A 25,601-nucleotide genomic window follows, 5' to 3' on the forward strand; every position below is an offset into this window, starting at 1 on the left:
TCTGGTTTCATTACAATGCATCCAGGTGTTGATTAATTTTAATATATGCTTCTTGACTCTGAAGATTAGTTTTATTATAGAATCTGGAAAGTTCTCAGGCATTGTTTATTTGAATATTGCTTTTCTACAATTATCTCTATTCTCTCCTTCTATTAAATGTATTTGTATCTCATCACTCCATTTTCTGTTTTATTTTTAACTTCTTAATCTCTCTTAACTGCTCCTTGAGCAATTTCTTCAGATTTCTCCTCAATTTCCTACACAACTGTGTCTGATATGCCATGTAATATGTCCATTAAGGCTTTTATTTCAATTACTATACCTGAATCATTTTCATATATACCCAATTAGTGTCTTCCTTTCCTCTTAGATTTTTGTTCCCTTTAATTTCTTAAACCATGTTAAGTATAAAATTTTGAATTTAGTATCTAAAATTCAAATATCTGCTATATTTGTGGATTTAATTATATATTTTATTGTTTCTGCTGATCTTGGCATAAGGTGGTTTGTTTCTGGATTGATTTAATGATTTCAAATTGTGAGTGTATGTTGCCTAGGACTTTATGTTAAAAATCCTTTGAGGAATGTGTGCAAAGAGGCTCCAATCCAGACAGCATTTGAATTTTCATTGGGAGAATAATCAATGTGGAATAATTTTTTTAATTTTTATTTTTTATTTGAGACGGAGTCTCGCTCTGTCACCCAGACTGGAGTGCAGTGGAATAATCTGGAATAATTTTAAACTACACTTCTAGCTTAGAATTATTTAGGTAGTAGAGCTGGTATGAATTCCAGCCCTTCATCTGGATGGTTTTGGATTTAAGATTAGAAATTCTCAGGGGATACTGCTTTCCTTTTTTCTTTCCAATCCTGAACCAATACCAAAGTAGGCATATCATCATCAGTGGGATGGGTTTTCTCCTAGTTCATCCACCAAGAGCTCCTGGAATCGGGGATATACCCAAGTTTGCATTGTGCTGCAGTTCCAGGCTTTGTCTCTAGTTGCCATATTGCTAGAAATGAAGTTGACCCATTTATGAACCGCCTGTGTTTTCCTCAGTTCTTGGTTTCTACCTGCCTATATCAGAATTTTTGAGGAGATGGATGTAGCAAATGCAGGAAAATAAATTTTAAGCCCAGAATAGAACATTCAGCACTACTCATGGACCCCGATAAACAATATATCCCAGAATCAAAAGCAATACCATTTTCTAAACTCCCTCAATCTATCCCCTCCTCTTCAAATTCCCCTCTATTTATCTTCACTTAACTTGCCCTATAATTAAAAAAAAAATCTATAATTTCATTAAGCAGTAAAATTTAAAGTAGCTACTAATATAAAACAACCATATTTAGTAGTCTTGCTTACAATTATAAGTTACTCTACTTCTCTGTCATCTTAAAATTTCTGAACATATTTCTCCTTCTAGCCACTTCTTGGGTCAGCAAATATCATTCAATATGATTCTACAGGCTGATTTAATTAGTATCTACCATTGCTAATGTTCTATATACAGCTAGGGACTTGCATTTGCTTTTTCACTCCTTTGTTCATTCATTCAACAGTAATTTATTAAATGCCTACTTTGTGCGAGACTATCCCTAAAACAAAACTTCAAGTGCTCATCTTTATGCCTTATTCAAGAGGATGTAAACAGAAAACAGTACATGGTACATTCAATGCTTAATATTCTTGATTTGATGTCTTTAGGTTCCCAAACTTCTTAATGTTAGAATGTATAATATCCTGCCACCTGCCTACAGATATACATCACTACTTTACAGATAGGAAGCCTGAATCTTGTTCATACAAAGTCCAAAAACTAGATAGAGAATCATTTTAGCTTATCTAATTAAATAAGAGTGGTATCAAACTTCAATAATCTTTCAAGACTGTAATGTAATATAAGACAAAAAATATGTAACATTATAGACCAATGAAACAGAATAAAGAGCCCAGAAATAATGCCACACACCTAACCATCTGATCTTTGACAAAGCTGACAAAAACAGGCAATGGGGATAAGATTCCCTGTTCAGTAAAGGGGAGAAACAAGATTATGTCCTTTGCAGCAACATGGATGGAGCTGCAGGCCATTATCATACGTGAATTAACACAGGAAAGGAAAAGCAAATAACACGTTCTCACTTGTAAGTGGCAGCTAAACATTTGATAAATGATGCTGGGATAACTGGCTAGCCATATGCAGGACTGAAGGTGAACCCCTTCCTTATATGATATACAAAAATCAGCTCGAGATGGATTGAAGACAAATGTAAATCCTAAAGCTATAAAACCCCTGAAGGATAACCTAGGAAATACCATTCTTGACATAGGACCCAGCAAAGATTTAATGACTAAGATGCCAAAAGCAACTGCAACAAAACAAAAATTGACAAATGGGACCTAATTAAACTAAAGGGCTTCTGCACAGCAAAAGAAACTATCAAGAGAGTAAACAGGCAACATAGAGAATGGGAGACAATATTTGTAAACTATGCATCTGACAAAGGTCTAATATCCAGCATCTATAAAAAATGTAAATAAATTAACAAGCCAAAAAACAACTCCATTAAAAAGTGGGCAAATAACATGAACAGACACTTTTGGAAAGAAGACATACATATAATTGGCCAAAAAAAATTTGAAAAAATGCTCAATTTTACTAATCATTAAAGAAATACAAATTGAAACCACAATGAGATACCATGTCACATCAGTAAGAATGGCTTTTATTAAAAAGTAAAAAAATAACAGATGCTGACAAGGTTGCAGAGAAAAGGGAATGCTTATACACTGCTGGTGGGAATGTAAAGTAATTCAGCCTTTGTGGAAAGCAGTGTGACAATTTCTCAAGGAACTTAAAGCAGAATTACCTTTTGAGCCAGCAATCCCATTACTGGGTATATACCCAAAGAAATATAAATTGTTCTACAAATAAAGGTATGCATGCTTATGTTCATCCCAGCAATATTCACAAACATGGAATCAATCTAAATGCCCATATGTTTCAGGATAAAGAAAATATGGTACATATACACCATGGAATACTATACAGCCATAAAAAGAAACAAGATCATGCCCTTTGCAGCAGCATGGGTGGAGCTGGAGGCCATTATCATGAGTGAACTAACACAGGAACGGAAAAGCAAGTAACAATGTTCTCATTTATAAGTGAAAGTTAAAATTGAGTATACATGGACATGAGAAGGGAACAACAGATTCCAGGGGCCTCCTTGAGGGTGGAAGGTGGGAGGAGGGTGAGGATCTAAACACTACCTATCAGGTACTATGCTTAGAAACTGAGTGACACAATAATCTGTACACCAAACCCCCATGACATGCAATTTACCCAAATAATAAACCTGCACATGTACCCCTAAACCTAAAATAAAAGTTAAACAAATGTGATATTAGATCACAAAACCAACAGAGTAACAGACGCTTTTCTATTCTCTTTGATTTTGAAAGTAATTAAGCTTGAATGAGTGGAGTAAATTATCCTATAGGGCACATTCTAGAGCCAAGGATGGCAGATTCTCATGTTTCTAACAGTAAAAAGAATGTCCAGTTTGGAAATTCAGTAACTACTGAAATATAGCAAGCACGATAGATTAAGGAGAGTTTTTCCCCTTCAGGCAATCATCTCCATCGTATTAGTAAAGAAATTTCATTTACTTTGGAGTCAATAAATTAAAAAGTTGTGTGGAAAACGTCACCCATAATACCATATTATGATACTAAAATCATGTTACCCTAAACAGAAGTTTATCAGTATCATAACACACCAGGGAGTACATTTTAGGTTACATTCACCTGTAATATTAATTGAGGAAATGTTCATTTATTCTCCTTTTATCTGTGTTTTATATTTTCAGAAAATTCCATTATGACATTATATAAAAAGTAATGTCACACTAAAGTATAGAAAATATATTTAGACATTTGATTGAAAAATTTGTGGACTTTTCATTTTCTAGCAAGCTTTCAAAGACATCAGCTGAAGTGTAATATCGCCCTGTAACCCAAGTGACTGGAGGCAGACCGTACCATTCTCAGTTCAGTGGGAAAGGGGAAACCTGTACAATGCGTCTAATTTGTAGCTGTGGTTTATTTCTTCTAAAACCTTTTAGACTACTTAGTTATATAAATTCTACTAAGTAAAATTTGCCTCTTCTATATATTTTCTTAATATTAAAAAACATATTCTGACAATAGAACTATAATGATGTTGAAAATAATGATTCTTCCAGAAAATATTAATAAAATTAATAACTGACCTGGCCAGTATCCTTTGTAGATTTTTGCACAATTAATCACAGGATCAAAAACAAAATGAAGCAAGAGAAAATTAAGATACTAATACTTACACATGGGCAAGGCTTGACTGCATCACTTGGAAAAAATCCAACCTCTCCAGATGCTAAATTTCTGCCCTAAGGAAAAAAAAAAAATGCCAGTGTTGAGAACAAATTTACCACAAATGATAACCCCATGATGCCCCATACATAGCACTGTTACTTAGGATCCTTAGAATTCCTTATGTGTTATATCCAGTCCTGAGCATTAACTTACTGTGGATCAGAAAAGGAAGCAAAAGCAGAGATAGTTTTCTTGGTTGTTCAACTTTACATGTGGTTTCAGGTCATGATCATAAAATAATTCAAGTTTATTTTTCAATCTACCCTTCAATTTTGTTAGCTTTATATCTCTCAATCCTATAGCACAGTGGACACCAACGTTTTTGGCCCCAGGGATGTGGGGTGAGGTGAGGTGGGTGCTGGGGGCGTGGCAGGTGGTTTCGGGAGGAAACTGTTCCACCTCAGGCATTAGACTCTCATAAAGGAAGTGCAACCTAGATCCCTCACATGCGCAGTTCACAGTCAAGTCTGCGCTCCTATGAGAATCTAATGCCGCCACTGATTTGACAGGAGGGGGAACTCAGGTAGTAACGCTTGCTCATTGGCAGCTCACCTCCTGCTGTGTGGCCCAGTTCCTAACAGGCCACAGTCTGGGGGTTGGGGACACCTACGATAGAGAGATAACAGCAGTTTCTATCTTTCACCTTTATATTCATTGGCATAAGCAGATCATATGAATTTTGTGAAGGCATATAATTATGAATTCCATATAAATGGATACTACCGGTCTAAGAGAAGACATGAGAATGTCTTTCTAGCAAGATGAGATTTCAAGATGTGAAAATAGAAAACAGTGAAATGTAAGTTTTGGATGATTTTCAGATTTAAGAAAAAGAAATAGGATACTTATTAACAGAAGAAGACCGTAAGATTTTGGAGAATAGGACTCTATTAGGTTGGTGCAAAAGTAATTGTGGTTTTTATCATTAAACTGCAAAAATACTAATACTTATTGAATCCTTAATATGTGCTAGACACTGCTCTGAGTGTTTTATTTAATCCTTGCTATGATCCTTTATGGTAGGTCCAATTACTATCCCCACATTACAGATGAGGAAAATGAGACACAGAGAAAGTAAATAATCTGCCCATGGTCACAGAGCTAACAAGTACAGAGCCATAAATCAAACTCAGATGTTCTAACTTCAGGGCTCTGCACTGCCTCTCTGTACAAGCATAATAGAGACTCATGAAGAAAGACAGTGGGACTTAAATATAAAAAGTAGTTAGGAAACAATTTGACAGTGATAGCTGAATTCTGTCATTGGTGATGGCATTTCTTTAAAGGTGTTGTATGTTTTAGAAGACTTAAACTTGCACCAATGTGGAATATGGCTCCTAGATGGGTCTCACTTTCGGAGTTGAGAATATCACAAGGAAACTGATCCCATGGTAAGGAAAGGAATTGGAGGGAGAGAAACACATGCTGAAGACACTATTTAACTAAGTCTGCTGAACTGGCCAGTGGATTAGATATGGGAAGAGAAGATGATCTGTTTCTGAGTTAAAGACTGGGAAAAGTATGAAGAATGGAGGTAGGAGGTGACTAGAGAATCCATCCATACAACACAGACTTAGATGACTTAGAGAGGAATCTGAAAATTGGAGCAAGGCTGCATCACTTGGAAAAAATGTAGAGAGAAGATAGAAGACAGAATTTACAGAAACTAGTGAAACAACAAGGCAGAAAGAAACGATCAGGAGAGAGAGGAATCAGAGACCTGGGAGGGATGGTAGCAGTAACTACAAGGTTGGGTGAACTGTTTGTTTCATTCAGCTGTGTTTATCAAGTGCTCTATAATGGTTTGTTTTCAGCAGGCAGTGAGATACAAGTAAATAAGTATGGTATTTGGGACTATACCACTAGCCAGACCTTTATATATAAACACACTACAATGCTACCTGAGTGCAAAATATAAAGGAGTGTGGTAGGAACCATACACTGATTAAGCTCAGAAGAGAAAAGAATAAGAATGCTTTAAAAAACAAACAAGACCTTTGAGAGTACATAAAGGAAATAAGTCTATTTTGCGAGGAAAGGCCAAAGAGAGAGCTCTGTAATGGTCTTTCCAAAGTGTATTTGAAGGTGTATCAACAAATTGGAAAATTATGGCTATTATAAATAGTAAACTGTCAACTTCCACTCTTCTTCAGAACAACAACAAAAGGCTTTAATCTATAGAATGCAGTGTACAGGAGAATAAGTGACATTTTGTGACAGTGTATGTTGGCCAATGTAATGCTATCTACTTTCTCAGAGCAAACCTGATGCAGAGCCCCTCATGTAAATTGATACCTTCATTCTGTTCCTCCTCCAAAACTCAGTTCACACATTACCTACTCTGTCATCTCTTCCCCAAGGAGCAGATCCCAGATTGAATCCCATGCACACCTTTCCATACCCTTGGTGATACATGAAGTAGTAGTGCTTTAGTAGTATTCACTCCTAGTAGTATATGTAATTATTGTTCAACATGGTCTTCTCTATTAATAGACTGTGAGTTCCTTGGCATAAGGGATAATCTCTCAGTCATTTTTGTATAACAAGATGTCAGACACAGAGTGGGCCCTTAATAAATGTTTCTAAGGGGAGATATAACTCAATCTGATAGTTCCCTGTCAATGAGGAGCATGGCCCTAAATTCCTCTTCATTAAAAAGAATAAAATAAAGCTATGTGCCACATGATGACATGTCAGTCAATGACTAACTTTATAATGATGGTGCTCCCATAAGATTATAATACCATACTTTTACTGTACTTTTTCTATGTTTAGATACACAAATGTTATAACTACCTACAATATTCAGTGCAGTAACATGCGATACAGGTTTGTAGCCTGGCAGCAAGAGGCTATACACGTAGCCTAGGTGTGTAGTAGGCTACACTATCTAGGTTTGTATAACTACACTCCATAACATTTACACAATGATGCATTTATTAGTATGTATCACTGTCATTAAGTAACTCATGACTATATGTCACTTTTTTTTTGTTCACACAGACAAGCACTGACAAGGATTAAGCTGACTGTTTCTATAGGAAAATATTCATATAGTGACATTCTTTGACCTGTCCCTGACATATTCTATAAGGACAGCGTTGGGGAGTGCAATGTCACAAAGCAGAGAAAAGAGGATGAGAACCCAAAGAATAAAAGAGTAGGAAAAAGAGATGAATTTTTTAGCTGATGAAAGTGTATGGACTGGCATAGTTGTTTCTTTCTTCCTTTGTAGAAACAGGTGTTCCACACAAAAGACATAAATGGGAACTGAAATCATACTAGAGGGGTAGAGGAAGAGACCGTGGTTGTATAAGAAATGCTCTAAAACTAGATGAACATATAATTTTCCATTCAAATCAGGACCTTTTGAGAGTAAATGGGTAGTGACTAATAACTATGCCAGAACAAATGGTATAAACTGAACTGTTCTGGGTAAACAAGTACACATGGTCATCATATCAAAACTCATTTTTTTTTTTTTACCTCTTTTAAAGGACACTCTTGGAGGTCCTTCAGGAGGGAAAAAATTTCACTAAACAGGCTGCCAATGTCATTCTGAATTGTTTTTTCCTTAATAAAATGCCCTAGCAGTTCAGGTCCCATTTCTTAAATGGTCATAGGCATTCTGTAGATGACAGAGAGGTGAGAGATAATTTAACCTATTTTAACGTATGAATAAAGTTACAATTACTTACTAATTCCTAGTCTTATCAGCTTTAGCTATATAATAACTTCTACTTATTAAAAAGATAGCTATCCTACAACATTTGGAGAATTCAAAACAAAGTAGTGTGTAGGAGGGCTTTCTTTGGTTTCTTGGTGGATGTGTGTGGGATGTACGTTGGTAATTCATTAATACTAATGGGTGGAGCAGCTGTCAATCCCCTATGCATGGATGAAATTGCAGACTGTAACTATGACATAGACCAACCTCAAATCCAATGATTTAGTGCACTTTATGTGATGATATGAGGTTTTTACTAACCTTGGTGAGAGACATGCAACTGAATTTCCTTCTTCTTTACATTACTCTGTGGGCATTTTATTCTGGGTCAGATAATCAGCTTGTCATCCCTTTTATGAGTATTACAAATGCCAAAGATAGGGAATCATCTTTTAGTTATCCTCCTGCCTCGTATTTGTTCTGTAAGTCCCTGAACATCTTCAAGGTCAACTTGAAAACATTCCTCTCTCATACTTAGGTGTCATCTGATATACCATACGGTGCTATCTTTATATGCATTTATTCTGCAGGGCATCTCTGTACTATGTGATGAGACTTTTGTAAATCTAACAGTACAGGTTGGGTCATTCTTATGAAAATACATTCTTTGGAAAGCACATGAGAAAATATCTTATGGGTACTATATGGTAAGAAAAAAATGCACCTGTATAATTTTCATTCAATTATCTGGAGCAGACATAAAGCAACATAATATTAAATTATAATTCATAAAATAACAATGCCTTTTTCCTGAAAAGCAATTTTTTTCCTGTAGAAAATGTATCAAACTAAAATTATTGACAACTTCTTCTGACATTCCCGAACATCACAAACATAAATGCATACTCTGGCACTTATTTATTTCTAACTGACCTTAGGTTTTAACTATTCTTCATTTTTCTTCAATAAGAATCCACACTGAATCATAATGAATTAAAACTACTTCAGGTTTGCTGGTAGAAATGATATTCACAATCTACCTGTACAGAGAAATACATTAAGGTATGCCAGGATGCTAGAGCTAAAACCTCATTTTTAAACCCACAGACAAGGATGGCTTAAAATGACAAAACATATCTTCTGAAAATCTTAATCATAAATTGCTTGGCTCCTAACTCTGTAAAAAGGAGAAAGAACTGCTTTGAGAAAAATACAGTGTCTCTTCCCTGTGGCTCATTTATCCCCTTAATACTACCTGGATTGGAGCCTTAATGCACTCCTGGAATAGCACTGAACAATTTGAAACAGATGTGGAAAGCTGAATGTAAAAGGGACAGATTAATGGTTATTTATGAACGATTGGAAATTCTCCCAAGTTACAATGCCCTAAACACTCTCAATGTATGCACGATGGTGCTGTGGAGATTACTAAGCAATTTATCACACATGGGTAATGGTCAGAGCGACTGTCACCCTGCCCAGTCACTTCCCGCTGTCAGAAATACACAGGTTGAGTGTTTGGGGAAAGAAGATGTACAGCATGGCCATGAATAATGGGAATATAGGTGAATACACTGTATACACAAATTAGTTTATTGATTGGATGGGCAGATGGAAGGAAGGAAGGATGGATGGAAAGATGAACACACTGTTTTTGGCATTATTCTGATGAAGTTTGTGAGGACATGCAATAAAAGAAAAAAACCAGCAAAGAGGAAGTGATCAGGAAAAGACCGAGTCAGAAACTAGCCTTTGGTAAGGAGAGATTTTTAATCACAGCTGCAGCCATATTGTAACCATCATCAGTTACATATACATAAGGGATAGTTCTTGGAAAACACACAAAGGCAGTATCATAGGATGTGTCATCAGAAGAGCTTGTTCTATTTCTAGCTCTGCTATAAAAAGATGTGCAACCTTTTGCAAGTTTCAGTGGTAAAACAGGGATGATGACAAGATCTGCCACACATCCCTCACTAGGTTGTTACAAGGATCAAAGAATTAATATGCATGAAAGTACTTTGCAAATGCTAAATACTTGTTTTATTTTATCTATAATATTGTTTCTTGATTATTGTCAATCACTTACTTCATTTCTAAGTTTTCCTTTTTTATTTGGCCCATTCATGTGTTATTAAAATAGAAATGTCTAATCCTATGTACAATCCTACCACTCTTTATATTTCAGTAAACTTGCTAAGCCGCAAGGAACATAGACTCTCATATCACTTTCACCTGAACGGGAACTATTATATTCCTGACAGTCCATTCCTTTACTCAAATGCTTTCTTGGCAGTACACATATTCTTTCATTGTTAATTGCTTCCTATATGATGAGTAAGATATGCATTTTCTATCAGTGAACACTTTGAAAACTTGCCAAGCCTACCTGCATATGGTTATATGATGGCCACTACCATTAATTCCAAAATACTCATGCACACATACAAAAGAACAAAACCATAAGCTATGCATTTTTGTTATTTCTTAGTCAAAAGGGGATATGATCCTTAACTTTTGTCCAATGTATAAACAGTGAAAGTTCATGAGGTTGTTCAAAAGACAGTACAAAATGTCCCTATCTCTGGCATAGTTCTCTTGTAAAGTGGCTGTCATTGGCTTAGAATTCTGAATAAGTCTAAGAAACTCATACCTTGGTCTAGGATCTCTGAAATTAAATTTACCTTCAATTTGTATGGGTTTATAATTGCATCGAGTCATCAAAATACATGACAAAGGCTTCAATTATAGTTGATGGTTTTTCCAATTCACACAAAATTGTGTTTATTACATCTCTGAAATTTTGGCAGATGGAAGTGTCAAAAACCCTTAAAAATTAAAAGTTGTGAAATGTATACTGAGAAAAAAAACCCACTAAAAGCCATAAGCTGTAGATTTGAGATGAATACAACACTGGAATGAGACTTCACCGAGTCTTTCTCCTGTTACTCAAAAATGTATTTGGTGAGGTCCCTGTGTTTCTGCAGCAAGAAAGGGAATCCTCTGATCATGGGTGTCTTAATGTTTTTTCTCCAAAGTCTCACTGGGTGGGATGTACATGATACAATCCTAAATTATAGTCTTATGACTGTGTGTGTGTGTGTGTGTGTGTGTGTGTGTGTGTGTGTGAAAGAAACAAGAGAATACCTTTAATGATAGAAAAAAAAAATTTGGCAACAAAAACCAGTCTACATGTAGGTAAGCCAAAACCCACGTTGTTACTCAATACAAAATCTGGAAAGAATCAGGTTCTACCATATCTTGGTGAGAAGCCATATAACCCAAAACCAATCCAGGCTTAACAAAGGTCCAAAGAAATTTGCTTTTCTAATACTGGCAGACAACAAATGAATGTTTTTCTATCCTTGGCAATTTTAATCATAACTAATTACAAAGAAAATATTCTGAGTCATAGCACCATAAACACTAAATGCTCATGGCAGCATGAGATATTTTTAAAGAATGTTACTTTTCTACTAAAAGCAAAAGTAGTGCTTTAAAGAAAAGTTTATTGACTTCCTAATATGCACAAGGCACTGTGTTACATACTAAGGAATTAAAAATGAATAGACGTGGACACAATCTTCAAGGATCTCATTCAGACAATGCCATTTCCTTAATTCACTTTTGCTTTGGTTATTTTCATAGATTTTTGTGATATTTTTGATCAGGAAAAAACCTGTGAGGTGATAATTTGATAGGATTAGGGAGTTGGGAGCCTGGGTTTTATTTTTGGCCTTCTGATCTTGAATAGGTCATTCAACCCTTCTTGGCTTCATTATCCTCACCTGTGAAACACAGAGCACGACCTAAGGATTTCCAATGTCTCGGCTACCACCAATGTTCTTTGCTTATATTATATAAGCACTTTTGCAATGCCCCCACAGTACTCCACTCAGTCATGGTTGGCCAAAAAACATTTGATCCACAAATTCTTAATTAGGGATGATGTGTGTCAGTAATTTAATCTTTTTTTTTTTTTTTTCTTTTTGGGACGGCATCTCACTCTGCTGCCCAGGCTGGAGTGCAATGGCGCGATCTCTGGATCTCTGCTCACTGCAACCTCCGCCTCCCGGGCTCAAGTAATTCTTCTGCCTCAGTCTCCCGAGTAGCTGGGATTACAGGCACATACCACCATGCCTGGCTAATCTTTGTATTTTTAGTAGAGATGGGGTTTCACCATGTTGGCCAGGCTGGTTTCAAACTCCTGACCTCAAATCATCCACTTGCCCCAGCCTCCCAAAGTGTTGGGATTACAGGCATGAGCCACTGTGCCAGGCCAGTAATTTAATCTGATAGCATTTATTTACAGAAGACAAGGACATTTCAGCTTCTTAGTGACGTTTTTAACTCAGTGTGAAGCGGTCTATTTTCCGAAGCACATAAAGGTTGATTTGTTAGAAATTGCATTCATTGATTCATTCTTCAGGAATTCAAATTATCATGAATAATTAAAATTCAATATATGCTATAATTTGATAAATTATTTGGCCACAACTCTTAAGGGCATGTGCACATGCATACTTTACTGAAACCACTTGCACCATCAAATCAATAATCACGTCAGATGGAATTCCAAATTCATGGCCCACTGAAAGTATTCTGTGATTGACACAAACTTTTAGTCATTATGGCAGAATGTAGCTTACATAGTAATAAAATAATGGAAGAAAAAGGACCACAACAGAATTTCTCAGAACTTTCTCCCATAATGTTACTCCCTTACCCTGCAGGAAAAAAAAAGAGATAATACTTCATTGTCTGAACTTCTACTTAGATGGCACTGTCCTCATCTAAGTATATTATAACCTACATTGCACTGTACCAAGTATTGGAAAAATACAAGAATTGTTAACCAAAAATGCCCATTTTGAGAATTAACAATTAGGACCTCACCCACTTTGTCAGGAGGCCTGCCAATTCCCATACTACAGTCTGTACACTTGGAAACATTCCTGCAAATTCAGTTTATGATCTATTTAATCAAAGCCAGTTGACAATCACCCAGGGAAAATGTTTCTTACAGGCCTTTACTAATGCCTATTATCTTCTATAATCATCTCTCCCAAGGCCTCCCTTGTTCTAGTGCAGTCACATACTGCCTTTTTCTCCTTTCCTGTAATTAGGGACTCTGATTTAACTCAGTATTTACAGGCAAATACCTGTCAAAATCAAGGTCTCATGATTACAGGACATACTAATGCCGACTGAGCCTCTACACTTTCACATAGCTTTTTATCCCCATGGCCACAGTTTCAATTCTGCCTTGGCTTCTACTGATTTTACTCAAGGGATGGGGTTAATAAATCAGTGGTAAGAGGCAGTTTAGAAGAAAAGCCAAGATGAACAGCGGGACACTGGGAAAACAAGCTCCAACACTGCCTTAAAAGGATCATTGCCATGATAAAATCTGAGTTTGAGACATCATGAAGAAATGCCCTTGGATAGGAATCTGAAGGGGAAAAACACTTACCAGTTCCAAGAAATGTTTACTCTCTGGTTTATAACCCAAAGCAATGAGTCTTTTGGTGTCCGGAATCAGTTTTCTTAACAAAGGAGATCTGATTCTTTCTTACATTTCTGTAATGTTCTTCTTTGACTCTGATGATGATGCAGACTAACACTTGAATTTTAGATCAGGAAGAAAAATACACAGCTTTAGAAAATTCTACTGGAGCTAATATTGTTGTGTGGTCTAGAAAGGATTAGAAGTCTCCTTTTAATCTAGGGCAAAGGAAAAGAATCCTTTGAAGTGACTGATTTCTGAAGTTTCAGGGAGAGGTGCTGGAGGGAAAGATCTACTAACTCCACTCAGCTGCACCTCCCTTCTCCAGGCTCAGAGGGTTTCTGGGTTGTGCGTTATTGCACAGATCACTTATGTTCTCAGTCACATTCCCTAGGCAGCGTTTGTTTTCTGTAAACCCCTATCTCTCTTTTTCCTTCCCCATCTCCATCACTCTCTGTGAGGTATCCTGGGTCTTCCTCAATCAAACCTGCTCTGAGAAAAGGGCTCATGATTTTTACCCTGATGATTATTTAAATCAACCAATCTCTTCAGAATTGATCATTTGCATTTTTATGTCTAATTATGAAGTAAAAGTTTAATCTCTGATTAAAGAAATTTCAAAAACTGGGTATGAGAATTGGGAAGGCAGAATAGTCTTCTATGAGACCATATGTGCCAGTGGGACTCTTCACATTAAATATTGGGAAGAGGAAACCTAAAAACAAAACCAGAAACAAAAAATACCTGATTATCATTTTTCCATTTCTGGAAAATAAAGCATGTCTTTCAAAATCATTAATCATTATACCCAAATACACTTTTTTCTCCTTTTCAATCTCTTTTCAAGTTTACTTCCTATGAGACTCACAACACTCCATGAGTCATTTAAGAATTAAAATCTCATTTTATAGAGGAGAAATTTGAGGAAACAATGTTAAGTAGTTTTAAAATTATTCTGAGAGAAAAAAGGCACATTTAAATCTGACAGATGAAAAAATACTTTAATGGTCTTTCAAATGACATCATAAAGTATAATTTAATAAACAATTCCTTTTAAAACTTGTAAATAACACCTTATGGAGATCACAACTCTAAATAGGCTTATTCATTCCAGACCTATGGACTGAATGCCTATTTTATTCTAGGAACTGAGATAAAGTAATGAAACCCATAGCTTTTATATTTCTGGAGTGCTCTAACCAGGCAGGAAGAAGGATAAAAAGACCCTTAGGACACAGTATGATGGGTGTTATGATAGAAGCCTTTTTGGTTCTGAGAAGACGTCAGAAAAGGCAACCCAGTATTGTGCCTTGATGATAAGGAAGGATTTAGCTGACAGAACGGGGGTGAAAGGGAAAACCAGGAAGAGGGTAACATATACATCAATGGTTGGAGGTTTGAGAAAACAGGTCTCCTGTGAAAAAGATCCCCCTAATCAGCCCTTCATTTTTCTATTCAGCTTAAAATGAAGAAAAAGTATCTGTAAAAAAAAGCAAGTCACCTGGACTGTTTGAAGACCAAATACAGCAGTCCTGTGGGAAGTAAAAATTATTGACAAGGTAAACTAAGACAAAGGCCAGCTTACAGAACATTCATCACCATTGTGTCTGGATGGCTGAGAGGATGGTAGCAGGGAATCCAGCACCTGGTTGCCCCTGGCCAAGTCAAGAGCCCACCAGCCCCCAGGTTCGTTGCCTCTGAAATCAGCATGACTAGAAATGCTTCCTTCCTCCTGAGAACCTCCAAGTTCTCTCTAAGCTCAACTTACTTTCTGACTTTTTATTTTCTGTGTGACTCTTCCTGTTACACAAAAAGTTATACATAAAGTGATGTTTTGTTTACTATTTTTTCTACCAAAAAATAACAAAACTGCCTTTAAAAGTGTGTTTTTCTTAGAGGTGTTAGAAAATTAAATGACTCTCCTAAAACAAAGTACAATGGTCTAATATATAGAACTAAAGTAGGGGACCACAAGTCTGAAAAGGACTCTAGTTTTAACTCTACAACTGCAATTTTATAAACAGGTCATAAATTTGGCCCTTTAAAGACACAGTTCTAAATGAAGGTAACATGATTTTCCATTTACCCTCTTTATGAAGACCTTGTGAATTAATCGGAATGTGTGTAAAAACATTTTCACTTCTTAGAATAAAGATCGTGTAGATGTATGATTAGTAAGCATGAAGTATCACAACTATTTTCTAAGTTATTTAACTTGCATTGTGGATAAAAATATATATTATTTTTGGCACTGATTACAGTTCTACTGCTTATAATTGCCTTTTGGTTCCAATTAGCTTACAAAACTCTCCCTGTGGAACATTTGGATATTCGTAAATGACAATGGAGCAAATAAAACCCCATGATATAAGACACAGAATCCTCACTGTTTCACAGTCTTTATTCTAAGAAGAAAACACATATTTCTATGTTTTCTATGCATTCTATTGTAATAGAAACCATAGATGACATGGCTTAATTTTACATTTGCCTGTTTCTCTGTCTTGCCCTCTCTTCCTTTGTGATAAGTATAGTTATCTTTTCTGGGAAAATAAAGTTTGTAATATGAACAATTTCTTCCAGCATGAAGGATATTCTCAGGAGTTACTAAGACTTTTTTATCACATATTGCAACAAAGACTTAAAAGCAACATGTTTATCATCATCAATTGGATGACACGATCAGAATTGTCCTGCATGTTGTTAGGCTTAGTAAAAACTATGCCTTACACCTGCACTAGAAAACGTGCCCCAAATGGCCAATTTCCTATTTTATATTCATTTCACTTGAAGGCAATTTTATAGAGCTTTCAAGGGAAGAGGAAGAAAAAAAGAAGAAGACAAAGAAGAAAAGAAAATGCTGCCAAAAGGAATCCTGAAATGCAAAGACTGAACAGAGTACATTTTTACAGCTCAATTGATAATTCATTGTTTGAAAGAAGTAATAATGAAAATGCAGATAGCCCATTCATTCAATAGCATCAGAAATTACTGTTGTTATAATAATAATACAGACTAAATTAATAGCTATTCAAAGAAAGAAAGTTCCTGATATATAGTAGAGGATAATTTGTATTCTCCTGACATAGAGTATGTGGAAAACATGACAGTCTACTACAAAATCTGACTTCCCACACTAATGAGTGAAGTCATCAACTTGCAAAAACAGAGAAAACAGGTCAGAAAGCATAACTTCTCAAAAATTTCCAAATAAGCCAAAGCACCTAACTAGTACAAAAGACATTTTTGAAATCAAATACAAAGCCATTGTAACATCTCGATAAGTTTTCTAGATTTTTATCTATAGGTTTAACGCTAGATATATTTGCAACAATATGATTTACAAAAACCTTAATTACAAAACTCAAAATGAAAACCAGGTGCATTACCTATCCTGAGTTCTGATCATTCCTTACATCATGGAGGCCTCCAGGTTAGAAACGGGTTCTCTAGTTTCTGGTTCTCCCAACATGAAACACAGTCAGTTACATAGTAGGCACTTTATAAGTATATGAATGGATGAATGGTAGGATAAAAAGATGGAAGAATGGATGGGAGGATGGATGGATGGATGGATGGATGGATGGATAGGAGCCACTATTTAATGGGCACTGTGCTAGAACTCCTTTGTGTATTTGCTTTATTTTGTATGCAGTGATTGTTACTTCCACTTGACAGATAAAACTGAGGCCCACTTCAGAGTAAGTAATCTATTTAAAGTCACACTGGTATAGATGGCAGAGTCAGTAACACTCAGCAAAATAAGCTATTATTTCCTAAACACATAACTTGCTTCTCCAGAGCTAAGTGTGTAGACTCTGAAGATTAGGAAGGAACCAAAAAGAGGTGCTTAAAAACTATGTTCTCAAAAACAATTAAAACACATTCCCAGTGGGGGAGTCACATATTTTAGGATTCAAGCCATAAAGTACATGTCTTCTTTGAGTATGAAAATCAGCAAATTAACATAAAAGGGGCCACTGTAAACATGCCTAAAAAAACACATGGCTTCAAAGGATCAACCAGTACATGATTCCACATTTAGACCCAATAAGGAGGAAAGGTCTTTGTTCAGAATTTTTTTAAAAACATGGCATTCCAGATTACGCCATTGAGTAAGTACAGATTCAACCCAGTTTCCTACATGTACCTTCCATATGTCCAGTCTATGAAACAAAAGCTAATTTAATCATGACAGCCTTGAAACATTGTAAGATCTTAAGTGCTTTTTTCAATTAGAGAAGACTATATCAAGTTCGGTACAAAGACTGTTTAGCAAGTGATTTTTTAAATCATACACTAATTTGTCAAAAAGGTACCCCTTATTTGGTAACTATCAAAGCCAAAGTATTGTAACACCTATTTTTTTTTGAGACATAAAATATACTGTTTTATTTACAGATATATAAAATTTATATTTATACTAAATGCATTGTTATCATAATACATTTAAATATGAGTATTACAATTTTATCACTAAACCTTTATAACTAAAATTGTAAACTTACTAAAATGCAGGCATAATACATGTTTAGCAGAGTCAGCTAACTGTTCCATGGTCCCTACACAGTACATTTGTAAGATTATATAACATTAAAACTGGTAAAAGAATAAGAAATTTGGAGACATCTAAATTTTCTCTTATTTTCTTCTTCCACTCTAGTATACTTTCTCTTTTTTAATTTTATTTTATTATTATTATACTTTTAAGTTTTAGGGTACATGTGCACAATGTACAGGTTAGTTACATATGTATACATGTGCCATGTTGGTGTGCTGCACCCATTAACTCGTCATTTAGCATTAGGTATATCTCCTAATGCTATCCCTCCCCCCTCCCCCCACCCCACAACAGGCCCCAGAGTGTGATGTTCCCCTTCCTGTGTCCATGTGTTCTCATTGTTCAATTCCCACCTATGAGTGAGAACATGCGGTGTTTGGTTTTTTGTCCTTGCGATAATTTGCTGAGAATGATTGTTTCCAGCTTCATCCTTGTCCCTACAAAGGACATGAACTCATCATTTTTTATGGCTGCATAGTATTTCATGGTGTATATCTGCCACATTTTCTTAATCCAGTCTATCATTGTTGGACATTTGGGTTGGTTCCAAGTCTTTGCTATTGTGAATAATGCCGCAATAAACATACGTGTGCATGTACCTTTATAGCAGCATGATTTATAATCTTTTGGGTATATACCCAGTAATGGGATTGCTGGGTCAAATGGTATTTCTAGTTCTAGATCCCTGAGGAATCACCACACTGACTTCCACAATGGTTGAACTAGTTTACAGTCCCACCAACAGTGTAAAAGTGTAACACCTTATTTTGTAGCTACGTTTAATAATACCAATTACCAACTGGTGAGCTGGGGATAGTGTCAAAATTACCATGGTCTCTTACCAATTAGATAATCAAATCAATGGCTCACATTAGATTCATCTGGGGTTTTATAAAATCTACTTATGCCTGGGCTCAACCAAGGCCATCTGTGTCTTAATCTCTGGAAGTGAGGCTGTGTGTTGACATTATTGCAAAGCTCCCCAGGTGATTCAGTCAGGGTGGTAAGCACTGCTCTGGTATAGCCCCACTCAGGTAATACATGAAGAAACTAAGCTACATAATGATTAAATGACTTGACCAAAGCCATATAGCTATTTGGCTACAGATACATGACTTGAATTTAGTTTTTCTCATACTGCCAGTGGTTCATTTCAATAAAACTAGCATTTGCTGGCTAAAAATTCTTTGATTGGCTTAGAAGTATCCATAACGCAATTCTGACCCAAGTTACATCTGTATGGGAAACACTAGATGAACTTTAAATATGTGTGCAAAAACTCAAACATATTACTGGCTGCTGGCAAGCAAAATGATTCTTCTAAAGACAGGAGACCTAATGTCAAACCAATGATAGGAACTGATAATTGAAGTGTTAGCAGTGTCTGAGTAGTGAACAGAGTTGGCACTCAATGCATACTTGCTATCTGAAATAAATGTGTTGTTTTTCTCTGTTCTAAACATTAGCCTTACTTGTTTCTAATCATTACATATACCCCAGACATACCCATATATATTGTCATCCATGGGTTCTCATTTCTCCTATGATTCTCCTAAGTGTCTCCAAAACCATTCTAATACTATACCAGAAAATCTTCAAGTTTATAGGCTGCTGAAAGGAAATGACAACTAATAATGTCTTTTTGTCTAGAAAGAATAGGAGGCAGTAGTATTTAGTAAAAAATGGCACTGGGCTAGTTGTCACAGAATCTCAATTATAGTTCTACTTTTAACATTATGTGGCTGTGAGGAATGAAGGAAATAATGAATCTCAAAACATGAAAATAATTGAAAGCACCATCTAAACCTGTGATAGGAAAAATTAGTGAATAAATGAAAAAAGATACTATACATAATTAAGTTTTACAAATCTAAGGTTTAAGAAAAAAAAGATGAAAAGAAACAGAGCTTGGTTAGAAAAATATGAATTCCAAAATTATCTTTCTAAAGCTAAATGCCTCTAAGCATACATTAGGCATGGTTCTAGGACTCCTGCATGACCTTCAGAGTGATCTCAAACACCACACTTTGCAAGCCACTTATACGCACCAAGATCTTCAACATTTTGTGTTTGGCTTGACTACTTCCTGTCTCTTTCTTTGTTGTGAAAAACTGATTGGCTTTCAGTGCCCTTGGAACAGCTCACAAAACCATTTTATTCTTAGGGCTGCTCATGCGGCTTCAAAATGTTTTCTGTCTGTGGCACACTGTTATTTTGGTATCCTGGTGAACCACACCTCCTGGTATTTGATTGGTATGGTCCCCTTCCTCTTGTATCTGGGCTGGCCATGTCTTGCTTTAACCAAAAAAAAGCGGCAAAAGTAATTCTGCACCAGCTCTGGTGTTTAGGCTTAAGAAGGTCCAGCAGTTTCCACTTTTACACTCTTGGGAGCCAGCTACCATATAGGAAGTCTAAGTACCCTGCGATCACCATGCTGTGAGGAAGATAAGGAACCACTGAAGAGGTCAACGTGCAGAAAGCCTCTGCTGAGTTCCTAGACAGAGGCTAACACTAACTGCCAATCCTGTGGACACGGGCATTCGAGACCTTACAGCTGCTCCCACCACCCCAACCATCAACTGAAGCAGAAGAACCACCTTATCACCCATAGCATTATGAGAAATAATAAACTGTTATATAATAATCACAAAACTGGGTAGGAAGAATCAATATTGTGAAAATGGCCATACTGCCCATGGTAATTTATAGATTCAATGCCATCCCCATCAAGCTACCAATGACTTTCTTCACAGAATTGGAAAAAACTACTTTAAAGCTCATATGGAACCAAAAAAGAGCCTGCATTGCCAAGTCAATCCTAAGCCAAAAGAACAAAGCTGGAGGCATCATGCTACCTGACTTCAAACTATACTACAAGGCTACAGTAACCAAAACAGCATGGTACTGGTACCAAAACAGTGAGATAGACCAATGGAACAGAACAGAGCCCTCAAAAATAATGCCACATATCTACAACCATCTGATCTTTGACAAACCTGACAAAAAGAAGAAATAGGGAAATGATTCCCTATTTAATAAATGGTGCTGGGAAAACTGGCTAGCCATATGTAGAAAGCTGAAACTGGATCCCTTCCTTACACCTTACACAAAAATTAATTCAAGATGGATTAAAGACTTACATGTTAGACCTAAAACCATAAAAACCCTAGAAGAAAACCTAGGCAATACCATTCAGGACATAGGTATGGGCAAGGACTTCATGTCTAAAACACCAAAAGCAATGGCAATGAAAGCCAAAATTGACAAATGGGATCTAATTAAACTAAAGAGCTTCTGCACAGCAAAAGAAACTACCATCAGAGTGAACAGGCAACCTACAACATGGGAGAAAATTTTTGCAATCTACTCATCTGACAAAGGGCTAATATCCAGAATCTACAATGAACTCAAACAAATTTACAAGAAAAAAACAAACAACCCCATGAAAAAGTGGGCAAAGGATATGAACAGACACTTCTCAAAAGACATTTATGCAGCTGAAAGACACATGAAAAAATGCTCATCATCACTTGCCATCAGAGAAATGCAAATCAAAACCACAACGAGATACCATCTCACACCAGTTAGAATGGCAATCATTAAAAAGTCAGGAAACAACAGGTGCTGGAGAGGATGTGGAGAAATAGGAACACTTTTACACTGTTGGTGGGACTGTAAACTAGTTCAACCATTGTGGAAGTCAGTGTGGCGATTCCTCAGGGATCTAGAACTAGAAATACCATTTGACCCAGCAATCCCATTACTGGGTATATACCCAAAGAATTATAAATCATGCTGCTATAAAGACACATGCACATGTATGTTTATTGCATCACTATTCACAATAGCAAAGACTTGGAACCAACCCAAATGTCCAACAATGATAGACTGGATTAAGAAAATGTAGCAGATATACACCAAGGAATACTATGCAGCCATAAAAAATGATGAGTTCATGTCCTTTGTAGGGACAAGGATGAAGCTGGAAACAATCATTCTCAGCAAATTATCGCAAGGACAAAAAACCAAACACCGCATGTTCTCACTCATAGGTGGGAATTGAACAATGAGAACACATGGACACAGGAAGGGGAACATCACACACTGGGGCCTGTTGTGGGGTGGGGGGAGGGGGGAGGGATAGCATTAGGAAATACACCTAATGTTAAATGAGAAGTTAATGGGTGCAGCACACAAACATGGCACATGTATACATATGTAACAAACCTGCACGTTGTGCACACGTACCCTAAAACTTAAAGTATAATAAAATAAATTTTTTAAAAAATCACAAAACTGAAACACTGCCACAAATTTGATGGTGACAGTGAAAGAAACTCACAAAACTAGTTTCTTTAATTAGCATAAAGACAGCCACCATCCCAATATCCCTAAGGTGCATGAAGTTTAGGAAGGCAGCATGAGCTTCATCATAAATAACATGATTGTAAAAGAAGTGCTAGAGCGTAATAGTAAAGAGATTGGACTCTTGGCCGGAATTCCTATGTCCGAATAACAGCTCTGCTAAGTTACTAGCTGTGTGTCTTTGGGCAGACTATTCAACCTCACAGTGCCTCAGTTCACTCATCTATAAATTGAGGATAATAATAGTAATTCATTTTATAGAATTTTCATTAGTATCATGGGTATTAACAAAGATATTCTTAAAACTCTACCTTGTACATAAAAATGCATAGTGAACATTAGTTGTTGGTGCTATTGTTGTCATCATTACTATAAGGAAAGAATAAATAAGAGGCAATTCTGCCTGGTTAGAAGGAAGACACTGAAAGACTTTAACAAGAAATTATGGAATTGCATTTGAATTTTGCAGTGATGTGGATTATGGCCACAATAAACCATAAGATTCTGGAGGTGAGATCAGTTAGAAGGTAATCTCAGATATCATGCAACAGCAGATTAGAATAGAAACTCCACAGTGGAGATGGGCCATAAAATAATTCTAAATATGTCTGGGCAATCCCTAAATATTTCAAAGCTAATTAATGTATTCCTAAGCAATCTATAAGAAGAAACTGAAAGAGCAATTAGAAAGTACAGATGCTCCTTGACTTATAATGGGGTTATGCCCTGATAAACCCACTGAATATTGAAAATATCATAAGTCAAAAATGCATTTAATACACCTACTGTACTGAACATCATAGCTTAGCCTAGCCTACCTTAAACATGCTCAAAATAATTATATTAGCCCACAGTTGGGCAAAATAATACAACACAAAGTTTATTTTATAATAAAATATTGAAAACTGATATAATTTATTGAATACTGTACTGAAAGTGAAAAACAGAATGGTTGCATGGGCCCTCCAAGTATAGTTTCTACTGCATGTGTATCATTTTTACACCATCATAAAATTGAAAAATCATTAAATCAAACCATCATAAGGCAAGGACCATCTGTATTTTGAACTGACTGAAAATGAAAATAAACAGCTTTGCAAAATTTTGGGAAGGCAGCAAAGTAGCACTTAGAAAGAAATTTGCAGTACTAACTAACTATACTAGCAAAAGAAAGGAAAGTACACAAATCAGTGAGCAAACACCCTACCTTAACGAACTAGCAAAAGAAGAGCAAATTAAGCCCAAAAGAATAGAAAGAAAGTAATAAAAATCAGAGCAGAAATCGATGATAGGGGAAAAAAACAATAGAACCAATAAAGCCAAAATCTGGTTCTATTAGAAGATCAATAAAATGCATACCTATCTAGTCGGGCTGACCAGGCAAAAAGAGATACATTACTGATATCGGGAATGAGATGGATAATACAACCACAGATTCTATAGACATTAAAAGGATAATGAAGAAATATTATGAATAAAAATTCATGCCATTAAATTTGACAACTTAGACAAAATGGACAAATTCCTTGAAAACCACAATCTACCAAACTCACTCGAGGAGAAGAAGCAAGTAACCTGAATAGCCATATGTTTGTTTTATAATTTTTTTTTTTTAAACTTCTAGGCCAGGCGTGCTGACTCACGCCTGTAATCCTAGCACTTTGGGAGGCTGAGGAGGGCAGATCACTTGAGGTCAGGAGTTTGAGACCAGCCTGGGCAACATGGTGAAACTTCATTTCTACTAAAAGTACAAAAATTAGCCGGGCATGGTGACGTTCACCTGTAATCCCAGCTACTCATGTGGCTGAGGCACGGTAATTGCTTGAACCTAGGAGGCAGAGGCTGCAATGAGCCGTGATCCCGCCGCTGCACTCCAGCCTCTCCAGCCTGGGCAACAGAGCGAGACTCCGTCTCAAAATAAACAAACAAACAACAAAACAAAACCTTCCACTAAGGAAACTCTAGGCCTAGATAGCTTCCCTAGTAAATTCTACGACACACTTCAGGAAGAAATAATGCTAATTCTATAAATCTCTTTTAGAAAGTTGAAGAGAAGGGACTAGATCCCAATTCATTCCTTGAACATTACATTATTATCCAAACCAGACAAAGGTATTACATGAAAATGAAACAATATATAAAAAAGATAATATATAATTGCCACTTGGGATTTAATCATAGAAAATAAATATTGATTTAACATATGAAAGTCAAATTTGCCGCATTAATAAAAACAAAAATTATATCATCATTTCAATGGATGCAGAAGAGCATTTGAGAAAAATCTGACATCTATTACTGATGAAAACTTGCAGCAAACTAGGAATAGAAGGCAATGTCCTCAACTTAATGAAGGGCATTTATGAGAAACTACAGATAATGTCATACTTAATGGTAAGAGACTTAATGTTTTTCCTCTAAGATCTGGAATAAGGCAAGGATATACTCTCTCATGACTTCTATTTGACATTTTACTGGACATTCTAGCCATTGCTACAAGTCAAGAAAAAGAAATAAAAGGCAATCAGATTGCAAAGGAAGAATAAAACATGGTGTCTATATTACAAAATCTGCTGGACTCTACAAAAGGAAAGCTACAAGAACAACTGAATTTAATAAGAGTTAAAGAATAAGAGATCAACATACAAAAATCAATTGTATTTCTATATCTCACAATGAACAACATAAATTAAAATATTAAAACTCATTTATAATAGCATCAAAATGAAATATGAAATAATTACAGATAAATATGACAAAAGATGTATATGACCTTAACTCTGAAAACTGCAAAACACTTCTGAGAATTAAAGACCTAAATAAATGAGGAGTATAGTATGTTCAGTGATTAGAAGACTCAGTCTTGTTAGGATGTCAATTTTCCTATATTGATCTACAATTCAATGAGATTCCAATCAAAATCTCAACAAGCTTTTTTATTGGTGAAGTTGACAAGGTGATCGCAAAATTCATTTGACATGCAAAGGACCAAGGAAACCCAAAACACCTATGAAAAAAGGAAAAGAACAAATTTGGACTAACATTGTCTGACTTCAGGACGTCTTATTAGCTACAGTAA

At 36.0% G+C, this 25,601-nt stretch overlaps 1 protein-coding gene across 11 annotated transcripts in view, besides 1 other annotated feature; it reads right to left on the reverse strand.

The window, feature by feature from the left end:
- The window catches only part of VAV3 (vav guanine nucleotide exchange factor 3), a 394,020-nt gene that overhangs the window by 42,035 nt on the left and 326,384 nt on the right, over positions 1–25,601 (reverse strand). For all 11 annotated transcript variants that reach the window (XR_007063680.1, XM_017000053.2, NM_006113.5 and 8 more), the window contains one exon: positions 4,372–4,437. Coding sequence is in view for 10 of the 11 variants with exons in the window: in XM_017000053.2 (XP_016855542.1) it covers positions 4,372–4,437 (66 nt within the window). In the remaining variant the exon portion in view is untranslated. The remainder of the gene's footprint in view (positions 1–4,371; positions 4,438–25,601) is intronic.
- Positions 13,347–13,436: an enhancer, noted in NCBI's record as "active region_1420". NCBI's record gives its function as "activates an Ori minimal core promoter by ATAC-STARR-seq in GM12878 lymphoblastoid cells {active_cell/tissue: GM12878}" and the evidence as "EXISTENCE:reporter gene assay evidence [ECO:0000049][PMID:35858748]".

The sequence above is a fragment of the Homo sapiens genome, chromosome 1 (assembly GCF_000001405.40).
Source record: "Homo sapiens chromosome 1, GRCh38.p14 Primary Assembly".
NCBI lineage: Eukaryota > Metazoa > Chordata > Mammalia > Primates > Hominidae > Homo > Homo sapiens.